This window comes from Homo sapiens, chromosome 1 (genome assembly GCF_000001405.40).
Source record: "Homo sapiens chromosome 1, GRCh38.p14 Primary Assembly".
NCBI lineage: Eukaryota > Metazoa > Chordata > Mammalia > Primates > Hominidae > Homo > Homo sapiens.
The window spans coordinates 167675402-167699551 of NC_000001.11; the positions used below are offsets into that span (position 1 = coordinate 167675402).

The 24150-nt window shown below is 48.4% G+C and overlaps 1 protein-coding gene across 3 annotated transcripts in view, besides 4 other annotated features; it reads left to right on the plus strand.

Moving 5' to 3' along the window:
* The window catches only part of RCSD1 (RCSD domain containing 1), a 78465-nt gene that overhangs the window by 45170 nt on the left and 9145 nt on the right, over nucleotides 1-24150 (plus strand). The window contains exons 2-6 of one of the 3 annotated variants that reach the window (NM_052862.4): nucleotides 8499-8600; nucleotides 10020-10109; nucleotides 14648-14719; nucleotides 18698-18901; nucleotides 21698-22441. In NM_052862.4, coding sequence (NP_443094.3) covers nucleotides 8499-8600; nucleotides 10020-10109; nucleotides 14648-14719; nucleotides 18698-18901; nucleotides 21698-22441 — 1212 coding nt within the window. The remainder of the gene's footprint in view (nucleotides 1-8498; nucleotides 8601-10019; nucleotides 10110-14647; nucleotides 14720-18697; nucleotides 18902-21697; nucleotides 22442-24150) is intronic. The other 2 variants (NM_001322923.2, NM_001322924.2) reach the window with 2 other exon arrangements.
* Nucleotides 4877-5080: a silencer, noted in NCBI's record as "fragment chr1:167649515-167649718 (GRCh37/hg19 assembly coordinates)". NCBI's record gives its function as "represses an EF-1alpha promoter that drives an FKBP-Casp9 reporter gene in an ReSE screen in phorbol 12-myristate 13-acetate-treated (for megakaryocytic differentiation) K562 erythroleukemia cells {active_cell/tissue: K562(+PMA)}" and the evidence as "EXISTENCE:reporter gene assay evidence [ECO:0000049][PMID:32094911]".
* Nucleotides 12442-12621: an enhancer, noted in NCBI's record as "active region_2050". NCBI's record gives its function as "activates an Ori minimal core promoter by ATAC-STARR-seq in GM12878 lymphoblastoid cells {active_cell/tissue: GM12878}" and the evidence as "EXISTENCE:reporter gene assay evidence [ECO:0000049][PMID:35858748]".
* Nucleotides 13849-15048: an enhancer, noted in NCBI's record as "CDK7 strongly-dependent group 2 enhancer chr1:167658487-167659686 (GRCh37/hg19 assembly coordinates)". NCBI's record gives its function as "activates an origin of replication core promoter dependent on BRD2, BRD4, P300/CBP, MED14 and CDK7 cofactors, with strong dependence on CDK7, by STARR-seq in HCT116 cells {active_cell/tissue: HCT116}" and the evidence as "EXISTENCE:reporter gene assay evidence [ECO:0000049][PMID:35650434]".
* Nucleotides 22225-22907: an enhancer, noted in NCBI's record as "H3K4me1 hESC enhancer chr1:167666863-167667545 (GRCh37/hg19 assembly coordinates)". NCBI's record gives its function as "activates a minimal SCP1, AML or CMV promoter by ChIP-STARR-seq in naive H9 embryonic stem cells {active_cell/tissue: H9 hESC(naive)}" and the evidence as "EXISTENCE:reporter gene assay evidence [ECO:0000049][PMID:30033119]".

Here is a 24150-nt window from a genome sequence, read left to right on the forward strand (position 1 = left end):
CATCAGATTTCATGAGACTTATTCACTACCATGAGAACAGCATGGGAAACAACTGCTCCCATAATTCAATTACCTCCCACCTGGTCCCTCCTATTAAACATGAGAATTATTAGAGCTAGAATTCAAGATGAGATTTGGGCGGGGACACAGCCAAACCATGTCAGACATGGACTTGATATTTTGGTTCAGCTGTTTGACTTGACCCAGAGCTCTGGACAGCTGGGATGTGTGAGTATTCAAAACCCTTGTCGTGACCCTAAAAGCCATAAAACGAAACTCAGCTGTATTTATTTTTTAATTGCTAGATACCACGCACATCCATCTCTCAGGGATGATATGAGCTCAGGGTTGGGGTGAGAGTGTCTGTTAAGCTCTTGCCTTAGTAATAAAATAGCCCACCAAAATCGCTGAGTCCAGATGGTCCATTCTTGAGCAAAGAATGGCTGCAAGCAGCAAGGAGCACATCTTAGCTAGCTGGGGCTCTATCTGGGACTTCTGTATCCAAGATGGGATGGAAGGACAGGAGAAGATTAGACATCTAGGATGCAAGCCTAGGCATCCCTCAGAGTATTCAGGAATGCTGCTAGCCCCATAGCCAACATCCAGTAATAGCTAACAATTATCAAACACTTCCTACATGCTAGGCCCTGTTCTAAGCATTTCACCTACAAAAACTCATTAAATCCTTCCAATGAGCCTGTAACATAACTACTATCATCATCATTCCGTTTTACAGATAGGCAATCTGAGGCACGGACAAGTTAGGTAACTTGTCCAAGGCCATAGAACTAGTAAATGTAGAGCTGGGATTTGAACCCAGACAGTCTGGCTCAAAGCCTGAGCTCTGTGCTTCCCTTCATAGAGCAGTGTAAAGCATAGTGCACCCTCCAGGGCAGACAGTGCATCAGCCTCCTTCCTGCCATCCATGGAAGAAGGGCGGTGCCACTGCCAGAAAACAAGATGAGTGTTTGCATATTGGGTTGAACCAAAGGATGATAGATGTTAATGGCCTCATTTACAAACAAGGAAACTGAGACTCAGAGAGGTTCACACCCAACATATATCAGAAGCAAGACTGAAACCCAGATCTGACTCTGAATTTGTTGTTCTTTGTGCTTTCCCACCCCCACCAGACTCAAAATAATTTCTTTTCTTTCTTTATGCTTGTACAACAGTTGGCACATTTTAGAGACAAATTTCCCACCATCATCTCCCAAATTACACTGATAAAATCCTGTCACTGCAATGGCATTCTGGATGAACATCTCCCTCTTCTCTATGGTCCCCTGCTGGCACCTGGGAATTTGCCCAGACACTAGCCATCACTACTAAACCCACAGACCCCCACCTGGAGGACCCTCCCAGGCACCAGAGGCTGTGAACTATGCTGATTTTAAAACCACTGAAGCAGCCAGGACTGTTTCCCACAGTGTGAGAACAGCTAAACCCTGTCCGTAATATTGGGTGACAATGCCAAGTCCTGGGAGCAAATGGGAAGCCCTGGAGGTTCCAAACAGGGACACACTCCCAGGCTCAATGCCTGCGTGTGGGTCCTTTGTGTGAGTGGAGCACCTCCTGGGATTCTCCCTGGGAGCCAGTTGCAGAGACCAAGGACCTGCCATTTTCAGATCCTTAAAGCCTACAAGTGGTTAGGTAGGGGACATCTGGGACTTTTTTGGTTCTGTGTGAGATATCTGATTACATGTATTTGTTAATATATGCTTGTTTCAATTCCTCTACCTTATCTATTTCTTGCAGTTCTTCTTTACCTCTCTGTATTCTCCTCACCCCTGAAAAAGGCTGTTCACTCCTTGAGGGCCGTCACGGTTACCCCAATGCATTCTACAGTGTCTACAGATGCTCAGGAAGGGGTGATTAAATGACCCGACAATGTGGATGGGGCACGCAACATTCATGAGTGACATTCAGGATTTCTTACCCTCTATCACTTTAGCCAAAGAAATCTTCTGGCCCTAAGCCATGTGAACCAAAATTATCTGAGACAGGTCTTTATTCAGAAAGTTTATTTTGCCAAAGTTAAGCATGTGCCCCCAGGAGGCAGGTCTGTGCCTTTCGCCAAAGATGATGTTGAAGCCTTTAATATTTAAAGAGGAAAGGATGAATATTGGGGAAACAGGAAGAAATTTTTAAAAGGTGTGGGTAGATAAGAGACAAATGGTTTCACTCTTTTCAGACTTTGATCAGCCTTTCACCAGATACACAATTTACATGTGAGAGATGAGTAGAGGAAACAGTCCACCTATTGCCTCCATAGCTCAGTGAATCTGCATTTTTATATCAGAGGAAGCAATCTGATATGCATTTGTCTCAGGTGAGCAGGAGACTGACTTAGAGTTCTGTCCTTTGTCCCGCACCTGTGAAGATAAGCTATCAATTTACATTGTCAGGGTAAAATTCAACAAAACTGTTTAGGGAAAAGATCTTGAGGCCCACAAGGAATTTTCTAGTGGGAAAAATTATGAGGGGGGTATGTCGCTTTTTAATCTTTGTTTATCTTATTCAGGAATAAAGTGGGAGGCAGATTTGCCTGATGCGTTTCACAGCTTGACTTTTCCCTTTGGATTAGTGATTTTGCAGTCTGAGGTTTATTTTCCTTTCAAGCCCATCCCATCTGCATTCTACACCAAAATGCCCTCCAGGCTCCCACTGGAATAACAGGACCAGTCCCCTCACATTGAGAATGAAAGGCAGCTTAGGGTGACTAAGGAGACATCCCAGACCTCAGTCTTTGGGCCTCTTCTCTTCCCTATTCTCTGTTTCCTCTGACTTTATGCAGTCTCGTAACATCAACTACCATTTCTAGCTAGTGACTCTCCAAGTTTTGTTTCTGGCCTGAAACACTTCTCTGAACTCCAGACTTGGGTATATATTCAACCTCCTGCATTGCATCTCCACTTAGACGTCTAATAGACATGTCAGACTTTCATGACCAAGGAAGAACTATTCATTGCCCAACTAGCCCCACCCACCCCTCTCTCCCCAACATGGCTTTCAACCCAGAAGCAAATACCCCATGCATCCCGTTATCCAAGTCAAACCTTCAGGAGTCATCCATGATTCTTCTCTTTCCCTTGCTCACACCCATGCATCAGTAATTCCCAGCAGCCTGACCTTCAAATCCCATCCCCCTGCACAAGCCCTGTTCACTCCCGCACCCAATCTCAGCTGGACCGCTGCCAGCACCTGCCTCTGCTCACCCTCTTCCACTCCTGTCCCTCCTCCACAGACAGCTCCTTGATGCGCGACTCAGGTCACGTCCCTCCTTGAAACCCTCCAAATGACATCCTGCTGGTTCAAGATAAAACACAAACTGCGCGCTCTGGTCCATGAGGCCCAATGTAGCTGGCCTCACACTACCACTCGCATCTTCCCGCCCCCTCTTGTTGTCCCTGCCACCCTTCTCTTTTCTCTGCCCCTCAACCTTTGTTTCTGTCTGTGCTTCTGCTCAGAACAATTTTCCTTTTCTCTTTTCCCCAACTGGGATTCAACTCATGTGCTCTCTCTTCAGAGATGTCTTCCCACATTCCCATAAAATAAGTGCCCTGTTTTATTTTCTTCACAGCGTTTAACAAAGCGTCTTATGGTTTCGCTGTGTACCTGTTTATTGCTGAAGTAGCAACTTCTGAAGGGCAAGGACTGTCTTGTTCACTGATGTATCTCAGGGCCTAGACCAGTAAATGCCTATTAACAAGAGACTAAGTTAACTCTTCCAGTAAAGGCATAGAGTTAGTACAGCATGTTGGTGTGGAAAGAGCTTTGGAATCCAGAAAATTCTCATGCCTGCACTTACTGACTTGAATAGTAACTTACTTAGCAACTCTAGGCCCCAGTTTCCTCTTTTAGAGAGGTAAGAATTACAGAAAATATATCAAAGGCTGTAAGGACAGTGCCTCCCACATAGGAGGTACTCTGGTAGATGAGCAGGTCAAATGGACCTACCTGGTTCCCAGTCCAGAACCCTTTCCATCCTCCTAGGATAGTAATGGTCAAACATTGGGATACATTGAAGAACTAGGGATAACTAAGGACATAAAGGAAGATTCTAGAGTCATTGCAGTATTTCAGAGAGATTCTATGGTGGTCTTTTTGAAGTGATGATTTAAGCGTGGTCACACTGGAAGGGGTGATCCCCTTCAGTTCTGGAGGAGTGAAGAAGCAAACATACCTCAGACCTTTGAGGCTCTGGGCTCTGGCCTATTTCTGGTGAGAGAGAGAAACTTCCTTTTGGCCAAGAGCATAGTTCTTCCAGCCCCACACTGGGCTCTCTCACTGCATCTTCTCTTAAGCTGCAGATGATGAGGCCTTCCCTGGGGCCTTGTTTCCCTAAACCATAGCCCAAAGGCTGGGAGATACTGAGACCTTGGATGAGCGCAGAAGGTGGAGAGACAGGGCAGAGCCTAGGAAGCAGGTAGAGCCTAGTCTGGCCTGTACATAAAGGTCTCATTATGTGGATGGTCAGCAGTATCCAAACTGTGTTTACGCAACATGGCAACAGCGGAGGGGAAGTTCCATGCTGTCCAGACACAGGGGCTCCTCAGTTCTCGGAAGAAAGTCCCATAGAAATAGAAAGTAAACACCAGAGGTGATTTTCTCCTAGCCTTGGCAAAGTCAGGCCAGACAGTAACCACAGGCATGGTTTCCGAGTTACCTGGCATGGCCCAGCTGGAAGGTAGCAGGGAGGGCTTCGTAAGCAAGACCTGGGCCCAGGAAGATGGAGTACAGGCCTGCGATCTGTAAAGACAAGTGTGAGCTAAAGCAGGGCACAAAGGGAGATGAGTGCAGAAAACAGATCTAAGACATGGAAAATGGCCCAAGAAGAAAGGACAAGCTGAAGTCAAGGCAATGACCAGGACCTGGAGGGTAGATGCTGGCAGGGGAGGGACTTACATACATCTGGGTATGGTCCATGGGGGTGAGTTGAGGGTGTCAGTGACTTTGTGAGCAGGTACCCAGGCCCTGACACCAGCAGACCAGGTCGGATGGGAGGAGGAGGAGGAGGAGGAAGAAACCAACCTTAGATGAGCCCTGTTTTTGTTTTTGTTTTTGTTTTTGTTTTTGTTTTTGTTTTTTTCAGGCAGAGTCTCTGTTGCCCCAGGCAGGAGTGCAGTGGTGCAGTGATGTGAGCAGGGCTTACTGCAGCCTCGACCAACTGGGCCCGAGTGATCCTCTCTCCTCAGCCTCCTGAGTAGCTGGGACCATAGGCACACGCCACCACACTAGGCTAATATTGTATACAGATGGGGTCTCTCTTTATTGCCCAGTCTGGTCTCGAACTCCTGAGCTCAAGAGATCCTCCTGCCTTGGACTCCCAAAATGCTGGGATTCCAGGCTTGAGCTACTGTGCCCAGCCAAGTACATGCTATGTTTCAGGCTCTGTGCTAAGTACTTTATGGACATCACAGGAACAGAGAAAGAACATTTAATCCAGAGAGGCTAAGGGTGTCTCAGGAAAGTCTGGGAATAGGTAGAGAAACTGAAGTTCTCAGACCTAACAGTCAAGGTGAGGGTATGGCCTTAGCGGGACTGCCGTGAAGAGCTCCTGGCCCATGGCTGAGGTGGTATGGTGCTGAGCACACTGGAGAGGGGTTAGCAGCTGTACCTGCCAGAACTGCAAGGCAGAAATCCAGGCAAGGCATCAAACAGGCTGAGCCACCAGCCCCGATTCATCCCCAAGACCACACTTCTTCCATTGCAGCTATGCAAATCAGAGGCTAATAATAATGTTGAGATTTGTATAGCACTTTAGAGTTGCCAAGGCACTTTCACAAATGATGCTACTTAACTGATGTCCATTACTGGAGTCTCAGGAGTTGGAGTCAGATGTTTCACAGATTACCTTGTTTGGCCTGTTCTGTGTGACTCTGGCTGTCACTTGCCTTCTCTGGGTTTAATGTGCCTGGAGGGCAGACGGTAATAATCAATCAGTCTTCTGCAACAGAGGATGGGAAGTGTCTGGAGAGGGGCTGATGGTGACAGGATCTGCCAAGCTTCGACAAGCTCTGGAGTCCTTAGTCTAAAGAAAAGCCATTCACTAGGCTCCAGGAAAACAAACTCAGAGGTAATAGAATCTTTCCTTCAACCCAGCTTTTAAGCCCTAAGTGCTTCCAGAAGCCTCAGAGTTCTCTCACTTCTGAGCCCCTTGCCAAGGCTAGTTTTGGGACAGGGAAGTAAGGGAGGAGCTTTTGATTCCTATACAGCTCTATTTTTAACTGGAATTTATCTTCCTGCTCCACCAGTGATTGGCGCCTTTGAAACTGAGGTAAAGCACACTGTCAGCAGGACCCAAGCATAAATAGCAGGGGACAGAGAGACTGATCTGTGATGTGGGCAAGAAGTTAGACAGATGGACAAACCAATCAGCCAGCATCTTTGCCAAGAACAGCTCAATTAATCACACACTGTCCCCAAGCCTCTCTCTCGTTGTTCCATTCTCTGACTTCCTTATGTGGCAAGTGTGAGGGTAAAACGTGTCAAGTCTAGGAGCCCCTCCCAGTGGGGAACTCATCAGGGTGGGGCCTCGCACTCCTCGGCTTTCCCCCAGCATCATGGGGAAATCTGGCATCTTGAATAGAGGTGAATCCTTTTATATCTTTATGTGAAATCAGCATTTGGTGTTTAGGCTGGTATGGAGATGAGCTTGAATTATAGCAACCCACAGTAAAGGGGTACCTGTCTTTTCCTCCAGAACAGCTGTTCGCAGATCGGAAAGTCCATGGCCCCAGCAGTTCCTTCAAATCCCTAAACGAAGCCTTTTTTTTTTTTTTTGAGATGGAGTCTCATTCTGTCACCCAGTCTGGAGTGCAGTGGTGTGATCTTGGCTCACTGCAACTTCTGCCTCCCAGGTTCAAGCAATTCTCCTGCCTCAGCCTCCCAAGTAACTGAGATTACAGGTGCACACCACCACACCCGGCTAATTTTGTATTTTTAGTAGAGATGGGGTTTCACCACGTTGGCTAGACTGGTCTCGAACTTCTGACCTCAAGTGATCAACTGCCTCGGCCTCCCAAAGTGCTGGGATTACAGGCGTGAGCCACCATGTCCGGCCTGTCAAAGCCTTCTTCTCAAAACTTTGCCCCATTAACTTAACTTCCCTGCTGGAAGTGGCTGGGAGGTGAGGAGATCTGCCCCTCCCTTGCTCCAAGGGGACAGCATCTTAGAATGACTAAAGTTATTTACTTTGGAGGGAGCACCCAAATAAGAAAGCTCAGAGACACCACTTTTAGCACAAAAGGAGGGCCATGGAAGAGTGTGTGTGTGTGTGTGTGTGTGTGTGTGTGTGTGTGTGTGTACAAGGGAGTAAGCTCGCTGCTGGAGGGAAGCATCCTTTGTTTTTGTAGACCACAAGAGCCAGGGAAAGGCAGGATGGACTTTCTCAGACAAACTGCTGCCCAAATCCTCCCATTTTCAGACTAGACGTGAGGAGGGGAAGTGCAGGGGGAGTTCGAAGTCTGTGTAAGAAATGCTGCCACCATGGTGACAAAAGACAAAAACCTAATGTCTCCGGGACTGGACATGTAAAAAATCTTATTCAAACCAAGTGGTTATGTAGGCCTCCTGTAACAAGGCAGAAACGAACTGGCCATTTCCAGCATCACTGACTTACTCTGTGTGTCTTGGTGACAAATGGTACATGAGAATAAATGGTGTCCTGGGGTGCATCTTGGCCTCTTCAGGGAACCTGGGGGCACCTCAATGGAGGGACAGCCACGGTAAACTGATGACCACACTGGAGGCAAGACTCACCGCCAGTAACAATAACAACCACCCTTCCAAAGCATTTGCAATGAGCCAGGCCTTGTCCCAGCCCTCTGGGTATATAGCAAATCATTTAATCCACAAAACAACTGATGAGGGATGTGCTACAGCCATCCTTGTCAAGGCACAGAAAGGCTAAGCCATTTGCCCCAGGTCCCCAGGCTGGTAAGAGATGGAGCAAGTCAGTGCTTGAATCCAGGCAGTTTGGCTCCCATCCACTGTGCTATCTGCTCTCGTGTCACTTACTTATTAATTCCACAAATATTTACTGAGCGCTTCTTTACCCATGGCACTCAAGTAGGGAACAAAAGACACATATATATGTGTTTCAAGTTCAATAAAGGGCATTTGCTCACCCTTGTTCAGGAGGTAAGGAGACTCGTACACTGTCGCAGACGTTGCCCTTTGCCGGTGGGGTCCTTGAGGAATGAGAAAATTGGACCTGTACTGCCTCTGACATCCCAGGGCACCCCTCCAGGACAGAACCAGGTTTTGTTTGTCTCCAGGTCCCCAAAGCCACACCCCGGGCCAAGAGCATTGTAGATATTCACTAAATGTGATTGACCGAATTTTTTAAGTCCTTGAATGCAGGAGCCAGTTGGATAATGCTGTTAAAATACCTCACTGTCACAGCATTCCTGCTTGCAGCCACAAAACAGGTGCCTTGCATGGCATCTGGTACCCATTTGCTGATTAACTGTTTCTTCTTCTCCATTTGCCAGGAAAGACCGGCAGAGACCAATGCCAATGTGGACAACTCGGCGTCCCCCTCGGTGGCCCAGCTGGCCGGGCGGTTTAGGGAGCAGGCGGCTGCAGCCAAGGAGGTGAGTCAGGCCGCTTCAGAGCAGCCTCTTCAGCAGCGGGCAGGAGGAAAGGGAAATCTGGTCAGGCCCAGCGGAGAGGGAGGGAGGAGGCTTGGTAGTTACCAAATTAGGAAGAGAAGCCAGGGGCTGGAGGGGTTTCTCTGAATGTGAGGAATGTCTCACTGCTGCTGTGCCTGGACAGAATCTGTCCCCACCAGGGTGAGGCTTGCACTCTGGCCAGGAGGAATCAGACACAGGGCAGAGATGGGCATCTGTATCCATTTCCATCTTGATCATCCACCTATACAGACTTAGATCTCACACAGCTGTGCCAGGCCTGGACTGTGTCAGAATAAAGAAGTTCCTACAGCCAGCTCCTGCCCTGTAGCCAGAGCAAGGCAAGGCTGGGGCAGACTCCAAATCGAGAATTGAGAAAGAAGAGAGGGCTTGAAGGAAAGCACATTCAGATAGGAAACCAGGGATCAGGAAGGAAGAGCGTCCGGTGACCAGTAGAGGAAAGTGTGACAAGGGAGGGTCTTAACTTTGGAGAGATTTGGGCTAGATTTTCTTGAGTCAAGCAGTGTGAGAAGCTCATTAGAAGTGAGATGAGGGGGCCGGGCACGGTGGCTCACGCCTGTAATTTCAGCACTTTGGGAGGCCGAGGCAGGCAGATCACTTAAGGTTGGGAGTTCGCGACCAGCCTGACCAACATGGAGAAACCCCGTCTCCACTAAAAATACAAAATTGGCCGGGCGTGGTGGCACATGCCTGTAAGCCCAGCTACTCAGGAGGCTGAGGCAGGAGAATCGCTTGAACCCAGGAGGTGGAGGTTTCAGTGAGCCGAGATGGTAACATTGCACTCCAGCCCGGGCAACAAGAGCGAAACTCAGTCTCAAAATAAATAAATACAAACAAGTGAGATGAGGGAAGGGTGCCCCAAGGTGGAGAGAAATCTATCGTGGCCCCTTGGGGCAAGTGAGTACTTATTTGCCTTGCATTTTTAGGTGCACTATTTCGGGGTTTTGTTTTCCCATCTGAAAGATCAGGTTCATAATTTCTAGACAGTACAGGCATGTCATAAAGGATAAAGAAGATAGCATTGATCTCAGGTGCTGGCACTGCCTGAAAACTGAATGTGATTCAGGTCGGTGAATCTCAAGTAAAAGTGGATATTCTAGCAGGAAAGGAAATGGAGTGGAGAGGGTGAAAGTCAAAATGGGTAGATGGTAAATAGAATTAATTTAAATAGTAAGCAGGCTGTCCCAAAGACACGCAGTTCCCTTCCTCCATTCTTAAATATTCCTACACTTCCCTAACATCCTAACATTCCTAAATCCCTAAACCTTCCTGAAACCAGTTTCCATTTCCTTGCTCTTCCTCCCTGTTGCCTGATCAGTGCTCTCTTTTTCTCTGTGTGTCTGTCTGTCGCCCTCCCTCCAGACACCAGCCAGTAAACCAACCCGAAGGAAACCGCCCTGTTCCCTCCCCCTGTTCCCCCCCAAGGTAGACCTGGGCCAGAATGGTGAGGAGGTAAGTGCTGCTGTTGGGGCTCAGAGGATGCTGTGATGGGTTTTCTTTCCTCTTCTTGAGGAAAGTTTGGAGGAGGGGGCACCAAACTCATACTTTAAAGCTCAGACTCTGTGCAGGGAATTTCTCCATTTCAGAGTGAATCTCCTCTTAAATGTTTCCTGAATCGTTTACTTTGGAAACTAGGCTCCTCCCTGCTCCCTTTTACTGAGGCTCCTTTATGATTTGTCAAGGACACGAACACTATTTTCCAAGCCTGAGAATTTTAGCAAAGAGAATGGGTCATATATTATTAACAGACCCAATTCAGGAGCCAGGAAAGTTCTGTTTTATTCCCAGATCTGACTTAGGTGATCTTGGAATAAGGTGTGGAGAAGGTACCTGGAAAGGGGGCTACACTTACATAGGGCAGGACGGAAGCATGAGAAAACCCCGTGATTCTGCAGTATCCTTGTAAAGCCTGGCTATTGTTCAAGATCACTGGAAGAAAACCAGAGCGCACAGGAGGCCTCGTTGCCCTCAGATATAAATAGCCAACGTTACCAACATAATAAAGGCTCTGGTATCATAGATCATAGCCAGTAATAGGTTCTTAGCCTGCATATTCTCCTATCTTTATTTATCTAATTGTAGCTGCAGGAGTGCCTTCTCCACACCTTATGCCAGCAACCCATGAACCTTCACTGTGGTCATAGTCTGTGCCAGAAATGGATTTGTATGTTCTGTCATCTCACCTGGGAGGCCAACCCCAAAATACAGCAAGCAAGCCAAAGACAATGTCATTCCCAAATTCCACTTCAACAACCTCTTTATTCTCCCCTTCTTTTTTGGGGACCAGCATCCTGACAATAGCCATTAGGTGCCCTATGTGAACTTGGGCAAGCATCTTAATGCCTACATTTTCTCATCTATAAAGTGAAACAGCTGAAATAGATCAATGGTTTTCAAGCCTTTTTGTCAACCTAAGGCTTATAAACAGAAGCCCACAAGATAAAGCAGAAACTCATCGCTGCCCCAGGCCAAGTGAGATGGGGGAGGGGAGGCCTGGAGCCCCAAATGCTCTCAGAATACTCTCTCCCCACTGACCAAGGGTCTTATTCTTGGATGAGAACCCCAAGGAGCACAGTTTAAAAACACTGAGGTTTTCCTTGGGTCTCTTCAAGTGCCAACAATATGATTCTGTGGCTTTATGGGGTCATCAGCCAGTGCTGTGACCAAACACATACCAACAACCTCTCTTTCCAGAGAATCAACTTCTCCTTGTAACCTTCAACCTCTGGGCTCAGTGTCTCCACTGCTATGCAATGGGTTGAGGTTATGGCCACTCAGAGCTTAATGTGAGACTGCCCCCTGATAGCCTGGGCTTGGCCCAGGAGAAGTCACCACACCATACCGAATCATTTTTCTTATTTGTGAAATTGAGGACAAAATCACTAACCAGATAGATCAGGGAGGCTGGCTAGGGAAGTTTTATCCCCTAGAGTAAAAGCAGAGGGAGTTAGGCTAGTGATTGGGTTAAACAGCTCCATCCTGGCAGCTCTGTGGAAATGCATTCACAGGTTTCACCCCATGGGGCACATCACCCAGAAGTTAAATGGCTTATAATGGCCAAGGGCTGGTTAAGTCCAAGGGCGGATTTTAGAAAATCCTGCCTGGAGTGACAGGCTGCTCGCACATTGAAAGGACACTACCTCCAGGGATCAATGACTTTTCGTGGCCTTGAAATTCACATAGAAGCAGGGCGTAGTGGCTCACGCCTGTAATCCCAGCACTTTGAGAGGCCGAGGTGGGCGGATCACGAGGTCAGGAGATTGAGACCATCCTGGCTAACACGGTGAAACCCCGTCTCTACTAAAAATACAAAAAATTAGCAGGCGTGGTGGCAGGCGCCTGTAGTCCCAGCTACTCGAGAGGCTTAGGCAGGAGAATGGCGTGAACCCCGGAGGCGGAGCTTGCAGTGAGCCTAGATCGCGCCACCGCACTCCAGCCTGGGTGACACAGCAAGACTCCGTCTCAAAAAAAAAAAAAAAAGAAAAGAAATTCACATAGAAATAAAATGAGCAGCCTGCTTTGTCTGGCAGGGCTAATTGGAGGCTGCTGTCCACATTTCTCCTTCCATACTCCTGTAGCTCAGCCTGCAGAGGCTCTAATGCTGGAAACCTTGGGGGCCTGCAGGGAGGGACCCGGTCAGGCTACCCCTCGGTTCCCAATGCACAGTGCCAGGAAGGGTCATTTCATCCCTGCCCCGCTATGCTTGCTCAGGTCTGAGACAGTGGGGTCAGCCCCCTGACAGCACCTGCTGACTGCAGGGCCCCTCCTGATGGCAGGGTGACCAAGAGTTACCCCTCTCTGGAAGAACCAGCTGAAGTTGGGTGTTTAATGCAGCCACAGATCCTGCCTCCTATACTCAGAAAAGGCTGAAAAGCATTCCCATCTGGAAATTAGTCCGTAGTTTCTAGACGTGGTAATAATGTCATGTAAATACAGCTATATATATACATATACAGGGATGGAAGGCTGGTTTTTCTCCACCGGATTGTTAGTCTCAGCCGCTTGCCTGAAGCCCCTTGTTAAACCGTAAGGGAAATGATGCCACCTGCTGTCATTTCCAGGAACTGCACTAGAGGCTATTTTGGATTCTTTCTGCTTTGCAATTCAAATCAATAGGGTTTTATGGAGCATCAGCTGGGTCCCCAGTACTATACTGTGTTTAAGGGGCAGGGTCCACTGAATTTCCACAGACTTCAGAAATCAGTGGTCAGCTGGGGAAGAGAAGAACTAATAATATTACATGAAGTGAGCTTTATCAGCAAAATTGTTGCTGCAGTTTCTAAAAGTTTCTCTGAAAACCCCAGCCCGTGTGAAATTTCCCTGTAAAGCACAGAAACCAAGGGCACTTCCATTGGGGCTGGAAGCTCTTTATACTCATCCTAGATAAAAAGCTCCTTGAAAGACTGCTATAGGAACATACCCGACAGTGAAGACACATGGAGGCAGAGGCAGCAGGAGTCCTTAGAATCATTTATTCCCGCCCAGCTGCATCTTGGTAGAGGAGGCTGAGGCCAAGGGCTTCGTCTGGCTCCTGCCAAAACTAGAATTAGAAGGAGTGGGGATCCTGTAAGTCCAGCCCATGCTCTCCCTTGGTGTTGGGCTGTAAAAAGATCACGAGGAGTTCAGTTGGGTGAGCCTCCCTCCTTCCATCACTAAAACACAATCATCTCACATTATAAATATCTCAGAATCTTCCTAAGAGATCAGTGTAGTTCTTCTTATTGTTCAGGAAAATTAGTACATGGGGTCAAGGAGCAGGTCATACACATTGGTCTCCACACTATGGGGAGATCCCTCCTCTGCCTTGGCCTCTGTCCAACCACATGGAAGTCATCCTCTTCCTTTTCTTCATCATCATCATCCTATCACTGTCACCATTCTCACATGTTTGTGGGGATTTTACGCAAAACACAGAGTTAATATTTTTACATGATATGGATCCCGAAGGCAGACAAGATTCCTGGCATTCATTCATCACAAAAATATCTACAACTAACAGAGAGTACGTATGATTATGTAACACATGCATCAGCCACGGACTGCTCCTGCCACCGAGACTGAATCATGCTCATCTTTGTATGACCCACACAATGTCTGGGACGTAGTAAATACTCAGTAAATGTTTACTTGGTTAAAAAGAATATTCAGGCTGGGCGTGGTGGCTCACGCCTGTAATCCCAGCACTTTGGGAGGTGGGTGGATCACCTGAGGTCAGGAGTTCGAGACCAACCTGGCCAACATGGTGAAACCCTGTCTCTACTAAAAATACAAAAACTAGCCAGGCATGGTGGTGCATGCCTGTAATTCCAGCTACTTGGGAGGCAGAGACAGGAGAATTGCTTGAACCCAGGAGGCGAAGGTTGCAGTGAGCCGAGATTGCGCCATTGCACTCCAGATTGAGGAACAAGCAGGACTCTGTCTCAAAAAAAAAAAAAAAAAGAAAAGAAAAGAAAAAGAATATTCAAATATTCAACATTTTGGAAAATCATAATTTATAAATCATGCCATCGATGGGATTTTCCAAAATATCACTGGGTCCAGGGAGGAATTCCAGTCATACCTCTGTCATCCTGGTCTGGTTTCTTGTTGTGTGTGTGACAAACAGGATGGTAATTTTTGCCCTTTGTCTTTGAAATCCCCCAAATTGTTGATTCACAGTGTTGAAGGTCATGAGGTGAAGATCTTGCTCAGATATAGTTTTCCTTCATAACAACAATGAAGTCACTCTTCCTGGGAGAGACCTTCTGTGTTAAGGATGTCGGCGCTGACTTCTCTAATTCTGATTTGAAGATCTTGCTGTGGTGGGATGAGGGAGGGAGGGGGAAAGTTCACGTCGCCCAGGCCCTAATGAAGTATGTGGGCTACTGAACTAATGAGAAAGTGGCAACACCAACTTCTCTTCTCCTTCTGCCTGTGGCTTTTGGGTTCCAACCAGAACCCCACTTTCCTCACCTTACTTATCTGGTTGTTTTGGTTGATTTGCTCCATAGAAATCACCACCCAATGCGAGCCACCCTCCTAAATTCAAGGTCAAGAGCTCGCCTCTGATTGAGAAGCTTCAGGTAAGTGCAGAATTCATTGTCTATTGCTACCTTTTATCTAACTCCACTTCTTATCCAAAATTTGCATGACTTTGAGGCTCATAGGGGTAGCCTATGTGTCACCTGCATAATTGGCCCCAATAATCAGCCAGTGATCAAATTGCAGTAAACGATAAGGATCTCACAGCCCTGCCTGAGGGAAAAGAACTAACATAAGGACCACATCAAGCACAAGCTCATGTATTTGACATTTAGTGGTGGGGGTTGATGGGTAACGGGATACCTCAAGAGTCTGTATGGGGCTGGGCTCACCCCTATAATCCCAGCACTTTGGGAGGCTGAGGCTGGAGGATCACGTGAGCCCAGGAGTTCAAGACCAGACTGGGCAACATAGTGAGACACTATCTCTACAAAAAATTTTAAAATTAGCCAGGCATGGTGATGTGCACCTGTAGTCCCAGCTACTCTGAAGACCGAGGTGAGAGGATCGCTTGGGCCCAGGAGGTTGAGACTGTATTGAGCTGAGGTCACTTCACTACACTCCAGCCTGAGTAACAGAGCAAGCTCCTGTCTTCAAAAACGAAAAGAAAAAAAAAGAGTCTTACGGGAAAGGACACCATAGTTGCCATAAACACTTTGAAATAGCCAACGCCTCTCTCCCAAGGCCTGAATGCAGCCACAAACCATTTCAGCCCTGCATAGGGCTGGTGTTCAGTTGCTGCACACTGCACCAGTCTGGACAAATTTGTTATTTGGGAAGTATCCTGTCCAACCTCTCCACCAGTAACCCTGTGTGCCCAGAGCCCTCACCTCCCGTGCCCAGGGCTGGCTGGCTCCCTGGGACTGTAATTAAGCAGAAGACACTGGTCCTGAACTCACAGTCTTGTGGAGACAGAGCTTTCACAGGTGATATAATAAAAGGAGCTGATGCCAGAGATCTCCACTGTGGGTCACTGCCCGGCTCCTGCTGCTCAAGACCAGGGTTTCTCAGCCTTGGCATTACTCGAGCTGGATAGTGTTGTTGCAGGGGCTGTCTCGTGCACGGCAAGATGTTCAGCAGCATCCCTTTCCCACCCATTGATGCCAGTAGCACTCTCCAACAAGTTGTGACAATGAAAAATGTCTCTAGACATTGTCAATGTCCCCTGGAGGCAAAATTGTCTCCCACCCCAGATCCCAGGTGAGACCCACCATTCTAGAATTTCAGAGCAAGAAGAGAGTAGAGTGGGCCAGAGTAATTAATGAATGTTTTATGAAACACCTATGTCCTGAGCCCGTCCTTAAGGAATGCGTGGCTGAAAAGGTGGGAGGAAGATGTTCCCCGTGGGGGAATGGCAGAAGCTAAAGTGCGGAGGAGAGGCAGGCATGTTATGTCCAGGTGGGGGCTGTAGGAGAGGTTCCTGTTCTCACCCCACCCTCTGTCCAGCCACCCAGGAGAAGGAACAAGGTGCTTGTGCACCATACCTCCCATCCAGGCCCAACTGAGAGCACCGGCTCACCAACTTCATTCTGAAGGCATCAGAGGTGTCAAGACGAATAGCCACAGCCTCTGTACTTCCCAGCCATGGGAGAGCCTAGGGATTTGGATCCCAGCCTGACTGGGGGTTAAGGCAAGCATCTCTGGTTTCTGGCCATGAGCCTACCCTGTGGAGGGTGGGGAGGGCTCTGCAGTGTCTACCTGAAATTTAATTCAAACTGAGAAGCCCTGATTCCACCCGGCTGCAGGAATAGGGTGGTGCTACCTGTCACTCCAGGAGGCTGCAGGGCTCCTAAATAAGTAACAGGGGTCTCTCAGAAGGGATCCCAGAACTCCAGCACCCCTCCTAGCATCCAGCTGAGGGATGTAGCCCCAGACTCCTACCTCTGCCTCCCTGTAGCCCACCCTAGCCCTCATTCAAGTGCCAGAAACCAGTTACCAAATGTTCTGTACCCTGTAGTTTTGGACCCATTCCTTTTTCCAGTCATTAATGAGTCTTTTGGGGAAACACAACAACTTGAGAATGTGGTTTGGATGTCTAGTTGTTCAATCTCATTAAGATTGTCAGCAATAGAATGACAACTTAGCCAAATCCCACAGGAAACTTACTTCGTTGGGAATATGTGGGAGAAACAGCTAAGAAATGCGTCGCCAGCTAGATTTTCTTCTAACTATTCTACTGAATGAATTATGAACTAGGGATTTTCTTTTTTAGGATAGCCCAAAATTCACAATTCAACTTTTCTGCTATCAACATCCATTTTATTTGCAAGCAGTCTTACAGAGGGAATTTCTCTGCTTGAAATTTAGAGAAGAGCATTTCCTTTAAGGTCCAGTGAACCCCCTCTGCCATGAAGCCCTCTCAGCCATGCCAGCATATCAACCTGCACGGCAACTATGCTCCAAATCCTCCCCTGGGTACTCCCCATATGCCGCTTTTTTTTTTATTTTTATTTTTTTTAGACAAGGTCTTGCTTTGTTGCCCTGGATGGACTCAAAGTCTCAAACTCCTGGGCTCAAGCAATCCTCCCACCTCAGCCTCCTGTGTAGCAGGGATTACAGGCACACACCACTGCACCCAGCTTCATATGCTGCTTTTTGACATGGTTTGGGCTAGTATGCTATTTAACTTTCGTATTTTATATACTGAACTCTTACCATGACTCAGTCTTGTCTGTATGATACCTTCTTTATTAAGATCACAATGAAAACACTAACACCCTTCTAAACGTGTGCAATGCTTTCAAGTCTGCAAGTCCTAAAGTATACATAGGAGTTCTCCAGGACAGCAGAGTCTGGCTGGTAGGAGGTGGGAAGGTGGCCAAGGGGAGCTGGGAGGGAGAGGGTGTGAGTATGGGGCAGGAGAGAGTACACAGGGACCAGATAGAAAAGACTTTGGAAGTCAGGCCAAAAGGTTTGGACAGACAAAGAATCTGAGATTCGGAAAGGCTGTTGGACTTGCTGAAGGCCTGAAGGTCACACTGCTATTAAGTGAAAGATCCAGTATTTAAAGTCAGATCTGTCGGTATGGAAAACCCATGTACTTCCCATTGCACCGTCTGCCCCTCACACTCCATCCCTTCTCTGTGAAGTCTCAAAGAGGCTCTGTCTCCTGGTTCGGCACTGCCACAGGGTCTGCAGGACGCAGCTCTGTGGTGATTTGGGAATGCAGAGGGCAGGAGAAGCACCCTAGATGGCCTTAAAGAGGATCGGACTCTCACGCACGTTCTCCCCATGGACGCCTTCGGGCATCTGGGACCACCTGCCTCCTCCCCAACCAAACTCAAGACTCCCTGAGGCTTTCGTTACCTTTGGGTGACTCTCCCATTTGGCTGCCTTTCATTTTGATCGGGTCACACCTGTACCTTGATACCCCAAGTGGTGGCTCATACTATGGTGTGTCCCACTGCCTTCGTCCTGGAGCTCAGTGGCCTACTGTGTCCACCACTCTGCCGTCTATTAAGAGGGAACCTGATACCTGGAGGCTGAGGGAGAATCAGACCCGGTGTGAATCTCAGGGCAGATCCCTTAGCTACTTTCTTGATTGTGCAATGAGAACACAGCTGAACGTGTGGGGTTGCTGTGGAGGACACAGCTACATGTGCCCTGCAATAGTAGGCATCTAGTGGGAGTGAGTACTATTGACTCTGATGAGAAAGGGGATCACAGAGCCTGACTTCCTGTGAGATCCTGGTGCCACAGGTGCTCCTGGCAGTTGCTGCTTCGCCACTTTGTTGATAAGTTGAGCTTGTTCTGGGAAATTTTTGTTGGATCCTCGTCAGTGCTGGCTGAGCATTTTGGAATGCAGCCTGTGGCAAGCCAGGTAGCAGAGGAGGATAGAGTAGGCAATGCTTCCAAGAGCAGGCCATGATGGGACAGTGGATAATGGGTTGGGAAGTAGCATGAAAAGCCTGGTGTTACCTAGTCTCAACCAGGCCTGAGGCCAGATAACCAACAAGCTAAAGTAGAGGCTCTGATCTTCTCCCTAGTCCTATTTGAAATTGTTCATCTTTTCTTGACAGGCCAATTTAACCTTTGACCCAGCTGCTCTACTGCCTGGGGCCTCACCCAAGAGTCCTGGACTCAAGGCTATGGTGTCGCCATTTCACAGCCCACCTTCTACCCCCAGCAGCCCTGGTGTGCGATCTAGGCCCAGCGAGGCAGAGGAGGTGCCTGTCAGCTTCGACCAGCCCCCTGAAGGCAGTCATCTGCCCTGTTACAACAAGGTAAATTCTAGCTCCAGATTATGGCGGTGTGTCTGTGGAAATGTGGGCACTGGCACCCCTGAATTTTCTCTACCCTGTTGTCCTGGAGAAAGGAGGAAACATTCGGAGTTACTGTCAGAGCTGCGTGTTAACCCAAGTGAAATTTCTCCTCTCCTTTGCAAATGATCCCTGAACTAGGATCACCTTTTTCCTCGACTGACTGGCTCATCTCCCCTTGCTGTAACTGTGCCATTCAACCCCAAGACAAGCCTGGGGGATGGCGTGCTCTCTCCTTTGTGGAGAAAGGTATGGAAATTCAGGATTGATCCCAGCTGCATAGTTCATTAATGTCAAAAGCTGAACGCAAAAGCTAAAGGCCTGATCAGTGATTTGCACAGAATGCTGGGCAGCATCCCTAGAACTCCAAAACGTCCTGTCTGGCCTGGTGTGAATAGCCCTAAGTGTCCCAGTGTGGACTCAAATCATTCTTCCTGCAGCTTGCCCCAGTTAAAGAACATCCAAACTGTTCCCTTTGCAAAAATGACATGGCAGGGTGCATTTCTACAGATGCAACCCTGATCCTCTGTGTGAGCTTTCATCACATCCCTCGCCCTGCTGGGAGGAGGTAAGGATCAGAGATAGGGGCCAAGCAGGTAGCCAACAAATGTGTGCCAGGGCCAAGCAGGGGCCAAGACTTCTTGGGGTCTGGTGCCAGAGAATGCTAAATGGGTGTGGCTTAAAATTAATGATGGAGAAATGAGATCTTCTAGGCCATTCTAGGAAGTCCAGCTAGCAAAAAAAAAATCAAATGTGTAAAAACAGGGAGGACTCAAGGAAATAAACTAGTGGTAAGGAGGGGTTCAGGCAGGCTTGAGCCTGCCGGCTAGGGCCAGAGTGGAAGTCCCCCAGCCAGGGTGATGGAGACCCCTGAAGGCAGAGAGGAACCTTCAGAGAGAGCCGCATCTTCTCACAGGGTGAGGCAGGGAGGGAGGAGCTGCTGCCTGGTCATAATGCCTGGAGGCTTCAGCCTTCTGACAGCAGCAAGAGGAAGTTATTTTGGAACCCTGCTGGTCATGAGGGCTGGGGCCTTGATACCTTCCAGAGCTGGCCCAATCATGGTCTCAAGAAAGGGCTTGGGAGGCCCTGATAAACCAAGTATTCATTCCATACTTCTTAGATGGGGAACTAGGATTGACAAATACCAAAATGTAAATCAGTGGGAAAATAACATTTACAAAAATTTATTTTACACACTAATTTTTTTTTTTTTTTTTTGAGGCAAGGTCTTCCTCTGTCACCCAGGCTGGAGTGCAGTGGTGCGATATTGGCTCATCGCAACCCCCACCTCCTGGGCTCAGGCAAGCCTCCTAGTAGCTAGGACTACAGGCATGCACCACCACACCTTGTTTTGTATTTTTTGTAGAGACAGGGTTTTGCCATGTCTTCAACCAGGCTCCTGCAGCTTCTGGGCTCAAGTGATCTGCTGGCCTATGCCTCCCAAAGTGCGAGGATTACAGGCGGGCACCACCACACCCAGCCCACTTATATACTGATTTTTAAAGGATGCATCACTCTAGTAGGTAGGGTATCTGATGTGAACATTTCCATTGCACCTTTGACTAAGTCTGATAAGCTGAGAAGAGGCCTGATTCTGAGAATCACATGCTTCCCAGAGAGATCACCTTCAGGCAGCTCTGCTGGTGCTCCTGAGAAACAGCTTCTGACAGTGGTGGACCTGAGTTCTAGAAGCAAAGGAATCTGGCTGCTCAGGTTTCCCAGTATCCGCCAACTTCACGGGGGCAGGAAGGACAGAGTTAGGCAAGAGAGGAAGCTGGTCACCAGGTCTCCAGCTCAGCACCCCTGAGGTCCCTGCACCAGGGCCTGGCCGTCAGCAGGTCTCTAACCCTCTTCTCGGTGCGATTCATCTTTGTCAAAGTATAATTTTCAAAAGTACAATTTTCAAATTTTTCAAAATTTTACAGTGCAATAAAATCATAAGTTATCTTTTTTACTGGATAGGAAGCATTTTGCATCTTCACAAGATAAAAGTCTGACTCTTATGCAAAATAGAGATTTTATTCAATATGTCAATTTATGAGGAAACTTGTAAGATGGTAAAACTTAGTCAAACAGCATTTGAAGAACTGGTTATTTATAGATAATTAGACAATTTCTTTTTTTTTTTTTTAATGCAGGGTCTTTCTGTGCTGCCCAGGCTGAAGTGCCATGGTGTGATGACAGCTCACTGCAGCCTCAATCTCCCAGGCTCAAGCTATATTCCCATCTCAGCCTCCCAAGTAGCTGGGACCACAGGCATGCACCAGCACCCCCAGCTAATTTTTCTTACTTTCAGTAGAGATGGAGTCTCGCTACGTTGCCCAGGCTGATCTTGAACTCCTGAGCTCAAGCGATCCTCCTGCCTCAGCCTCCCAAAGTGCTGGATTACATGTGTGAGCCACCATGCCCGGCAAGAATTTTTTTTTAAGTGTCAGAATAAAATTACTAAATTAGACACCGAACTGATTAATGTTTTACAGTGCAATAAAATCATGAGTTTTTGTTTTTGTTTTTTACTGAATGGAAAGCATTTGCATCTTCACAAAATAAAAGTCTGCAGGTCACCATGTGATTTCACAATCCCACATGGCTCTAATCTATAATAAATAGCAAACAATGATTCGTTCTCCTGGAAAATTAAACGGTCCTTGCGTGGACTTGTGAAGCAGTGCACCAGACTGACATTGAAAGTGCATACAGTCCTCCTCTTGGCCTTTTTTTATGAGTTTTTGGATAACTTTCCTTAACACTTTCTTCTAGGTGCGGACGAGGGGCTCAATAAAAAGGCGCCCTCCCTCCAGGCGATTCCGAAGGTCACAGTCAGACTGTGGAGAACTTGGAGATTTCAGGGCGGTGGAGTCATCTCAGCAGAACGGTGCTAAGGAAGAGGATGGGGATGAAGTGTTGCCATCCAAGAGCAAGGCCCCAGGATCCCCTTTGTCCAGTGAGGGAGCAGCGGGAGAGGGAGTGAGAACCCTGGGACCTGCTGAAAAGCCTCCTCTGAGGAGGTCACCCAGCAGGACAGAGAAGCAGGAGGAGGACAGGGCCACAGAGGAAGCCAAGAACGGTGAAAAGGCCAGGCGGAGTTCAGAGGAGGTGGACGGCCAGCACCCGGCCCAAGAGGAGGTCCCGGAATCGCCCCAGACCTCTGGCCCAGAGGCAGAAAATAGGTGTGGGAGCCCCAGGGAGGAAAAGCCAGCTGGAGAGGAAGCAGAGATGGAAAAGGCTACAGAGGTGAAGGGGGAGAGGGTGCAAAATGAAGAGGTGGGACCTGAACATGACAGCCAAGAAACAAAGAAGCTGGAGGAGGGAGCTGCAGTGAAGGAGACCCCCCACAGTCCCCCTGGAGGAGTGAAGGGCGGAGATGTCCCCAAGCAGGAAAAAGGCAAGGAAAAACAACAGGAGGGGGCAGTGCTCGAGCCAGGCTGCAGCCCCCAGACCGGCCCTGCCCAGCTGGAGACCAGCAGTGAGGTCCAGAGCGAGCCAGCAGTCCCCAAGCCGGAGGTAGGTGGCCTGGCTCGTTCACATGCAGAAGGCAGTGCCAGGGCCAGTGTGTGCCTCTGTCACATGTCCTGTTCCGTACAGTCCCTTCATAAATCAGCTCGACATGCAGAAACAAAGGTGCCAGGCTCCTGCCTCGTGCCAACTTGTTGGAGAAAGGCTGTCGCTGAGGCTGAGGGGACAAAAGGACACAAAGAGGAAGTGTGTCTTCTGCTCTTGCCAACTTCTCGCTGACTTGGAGTTCTGGCAAGCTTCTGGGTGTGTGTGAGTGACCGAGCCTCGGCACGGCTCAGTAACTGAGGCCTGCAAGCATCTATGGAAGCCTGCTGAGTGCAGGAGCCTGGGCATGCTGCTGCAGGGGATCCAGAGATGAAAAAGAAAGGGGAGCTCCTTTCTAAAAATCATCTCAGTTTAGCACATGAGACCAGCAACTCTTTCATGTGCATGAACAAGGTGGAATAGGGCAGTGGACAGGGGGCATTCCCAGGGAAGCCCAAAGTGCAAGTGTAGCAGAAACAATTTGTGTGTGGATGGGACAAAAAGCTGGGGATGCTTCAGGGCCAAGGTAGTATTTGAGTTGGCCCTCAGAGAAAGAAGCTGCATGTGATGTTGGGACGTTCACTCTCTCTCAGGGATTGGGCATCTGCTGCACATGAGGAGGACGGGGTGACTCAGTCCCTGCCCTCCTGCCTGGGCCTGCATTTACTGGCCCTTTCCTCTACACCTGTCTGCTCCCCACCAGCTCCCAGGAAGCCCATCTTGAGCTCACCTATCTATGCTTTAAGAGCAGAACCAGCTCTGCAGAGTCCCTAACAATCTCATCAAGTCAGTCACCCACAATTGTTTCACCCGTCGCTTTTGTTAGTGCATTCATTCATTCATGCGTTCATTTACTCACACCACTATCAGCTTCCTGCTACAGTAGCCTCTTTGTTTGTTTGTTTGTTTGTTTTTTGTTTTTGTTTTTGTTTTTGTTTTGAGAAGGAGTCTCGCTGTGTCGCCCAGGCTGGAGTGCAGTGGCGGGATCTCGGCTCACTGCAAGCTCCGCCTCCCGAGTTCACGCCATTCTCCTGCCTCAGCCTCCCGAGTAGCTGGGACCACAGGCGCCCGCCACCACGCCCGGCTAATTTTTTGTATTTTTAGTGGAGACGGGTTTCACCGTGTTAGCCAGGATGATCTCGATCTCCTGACCTCATGATCCACCTGCCTCGGCCTCCCAAAGTGCTGGGATTACAGGCGTGAGCCACCGCGCCCGGCCTTACAGTAGTTCTGGCTTCCTGCTTCCACTTTTTTTTCCCCCTGCGTATATAATCCATTCTCTGGACAGCAACCAGCAGGTTTGGTTTGTTTTTTAGATCAACTGCTCTTTGCTAAAATTATTCGCCTCTTGTATCAGGGTCGCCATAAAAAATTACCACAAACTTGGTGGCTCAAAACAATAGAAATATACTTTCTTACAGCTCTACAGTTCAGACCTTCAAAATTAAGTTGTTGGCTGGGTTGGTCTCCTCTAGCAGTTCTGGGGGAGAATCTGTTCCTCTCCCTTAAGTTCTGGCAGCTGCCTGCAACCCTTGGAATTCTCCCTTGCCTCCTCTGGCTCCTGGTGGCTGCTGCAATTCATGGCATCTCTTGGCATCTAGATGCACCACTCCAGTCTCTGCCTCCATCTCCATCACACGGCCTTTCACTGTTACTGTGTGTCTCATAGTCCC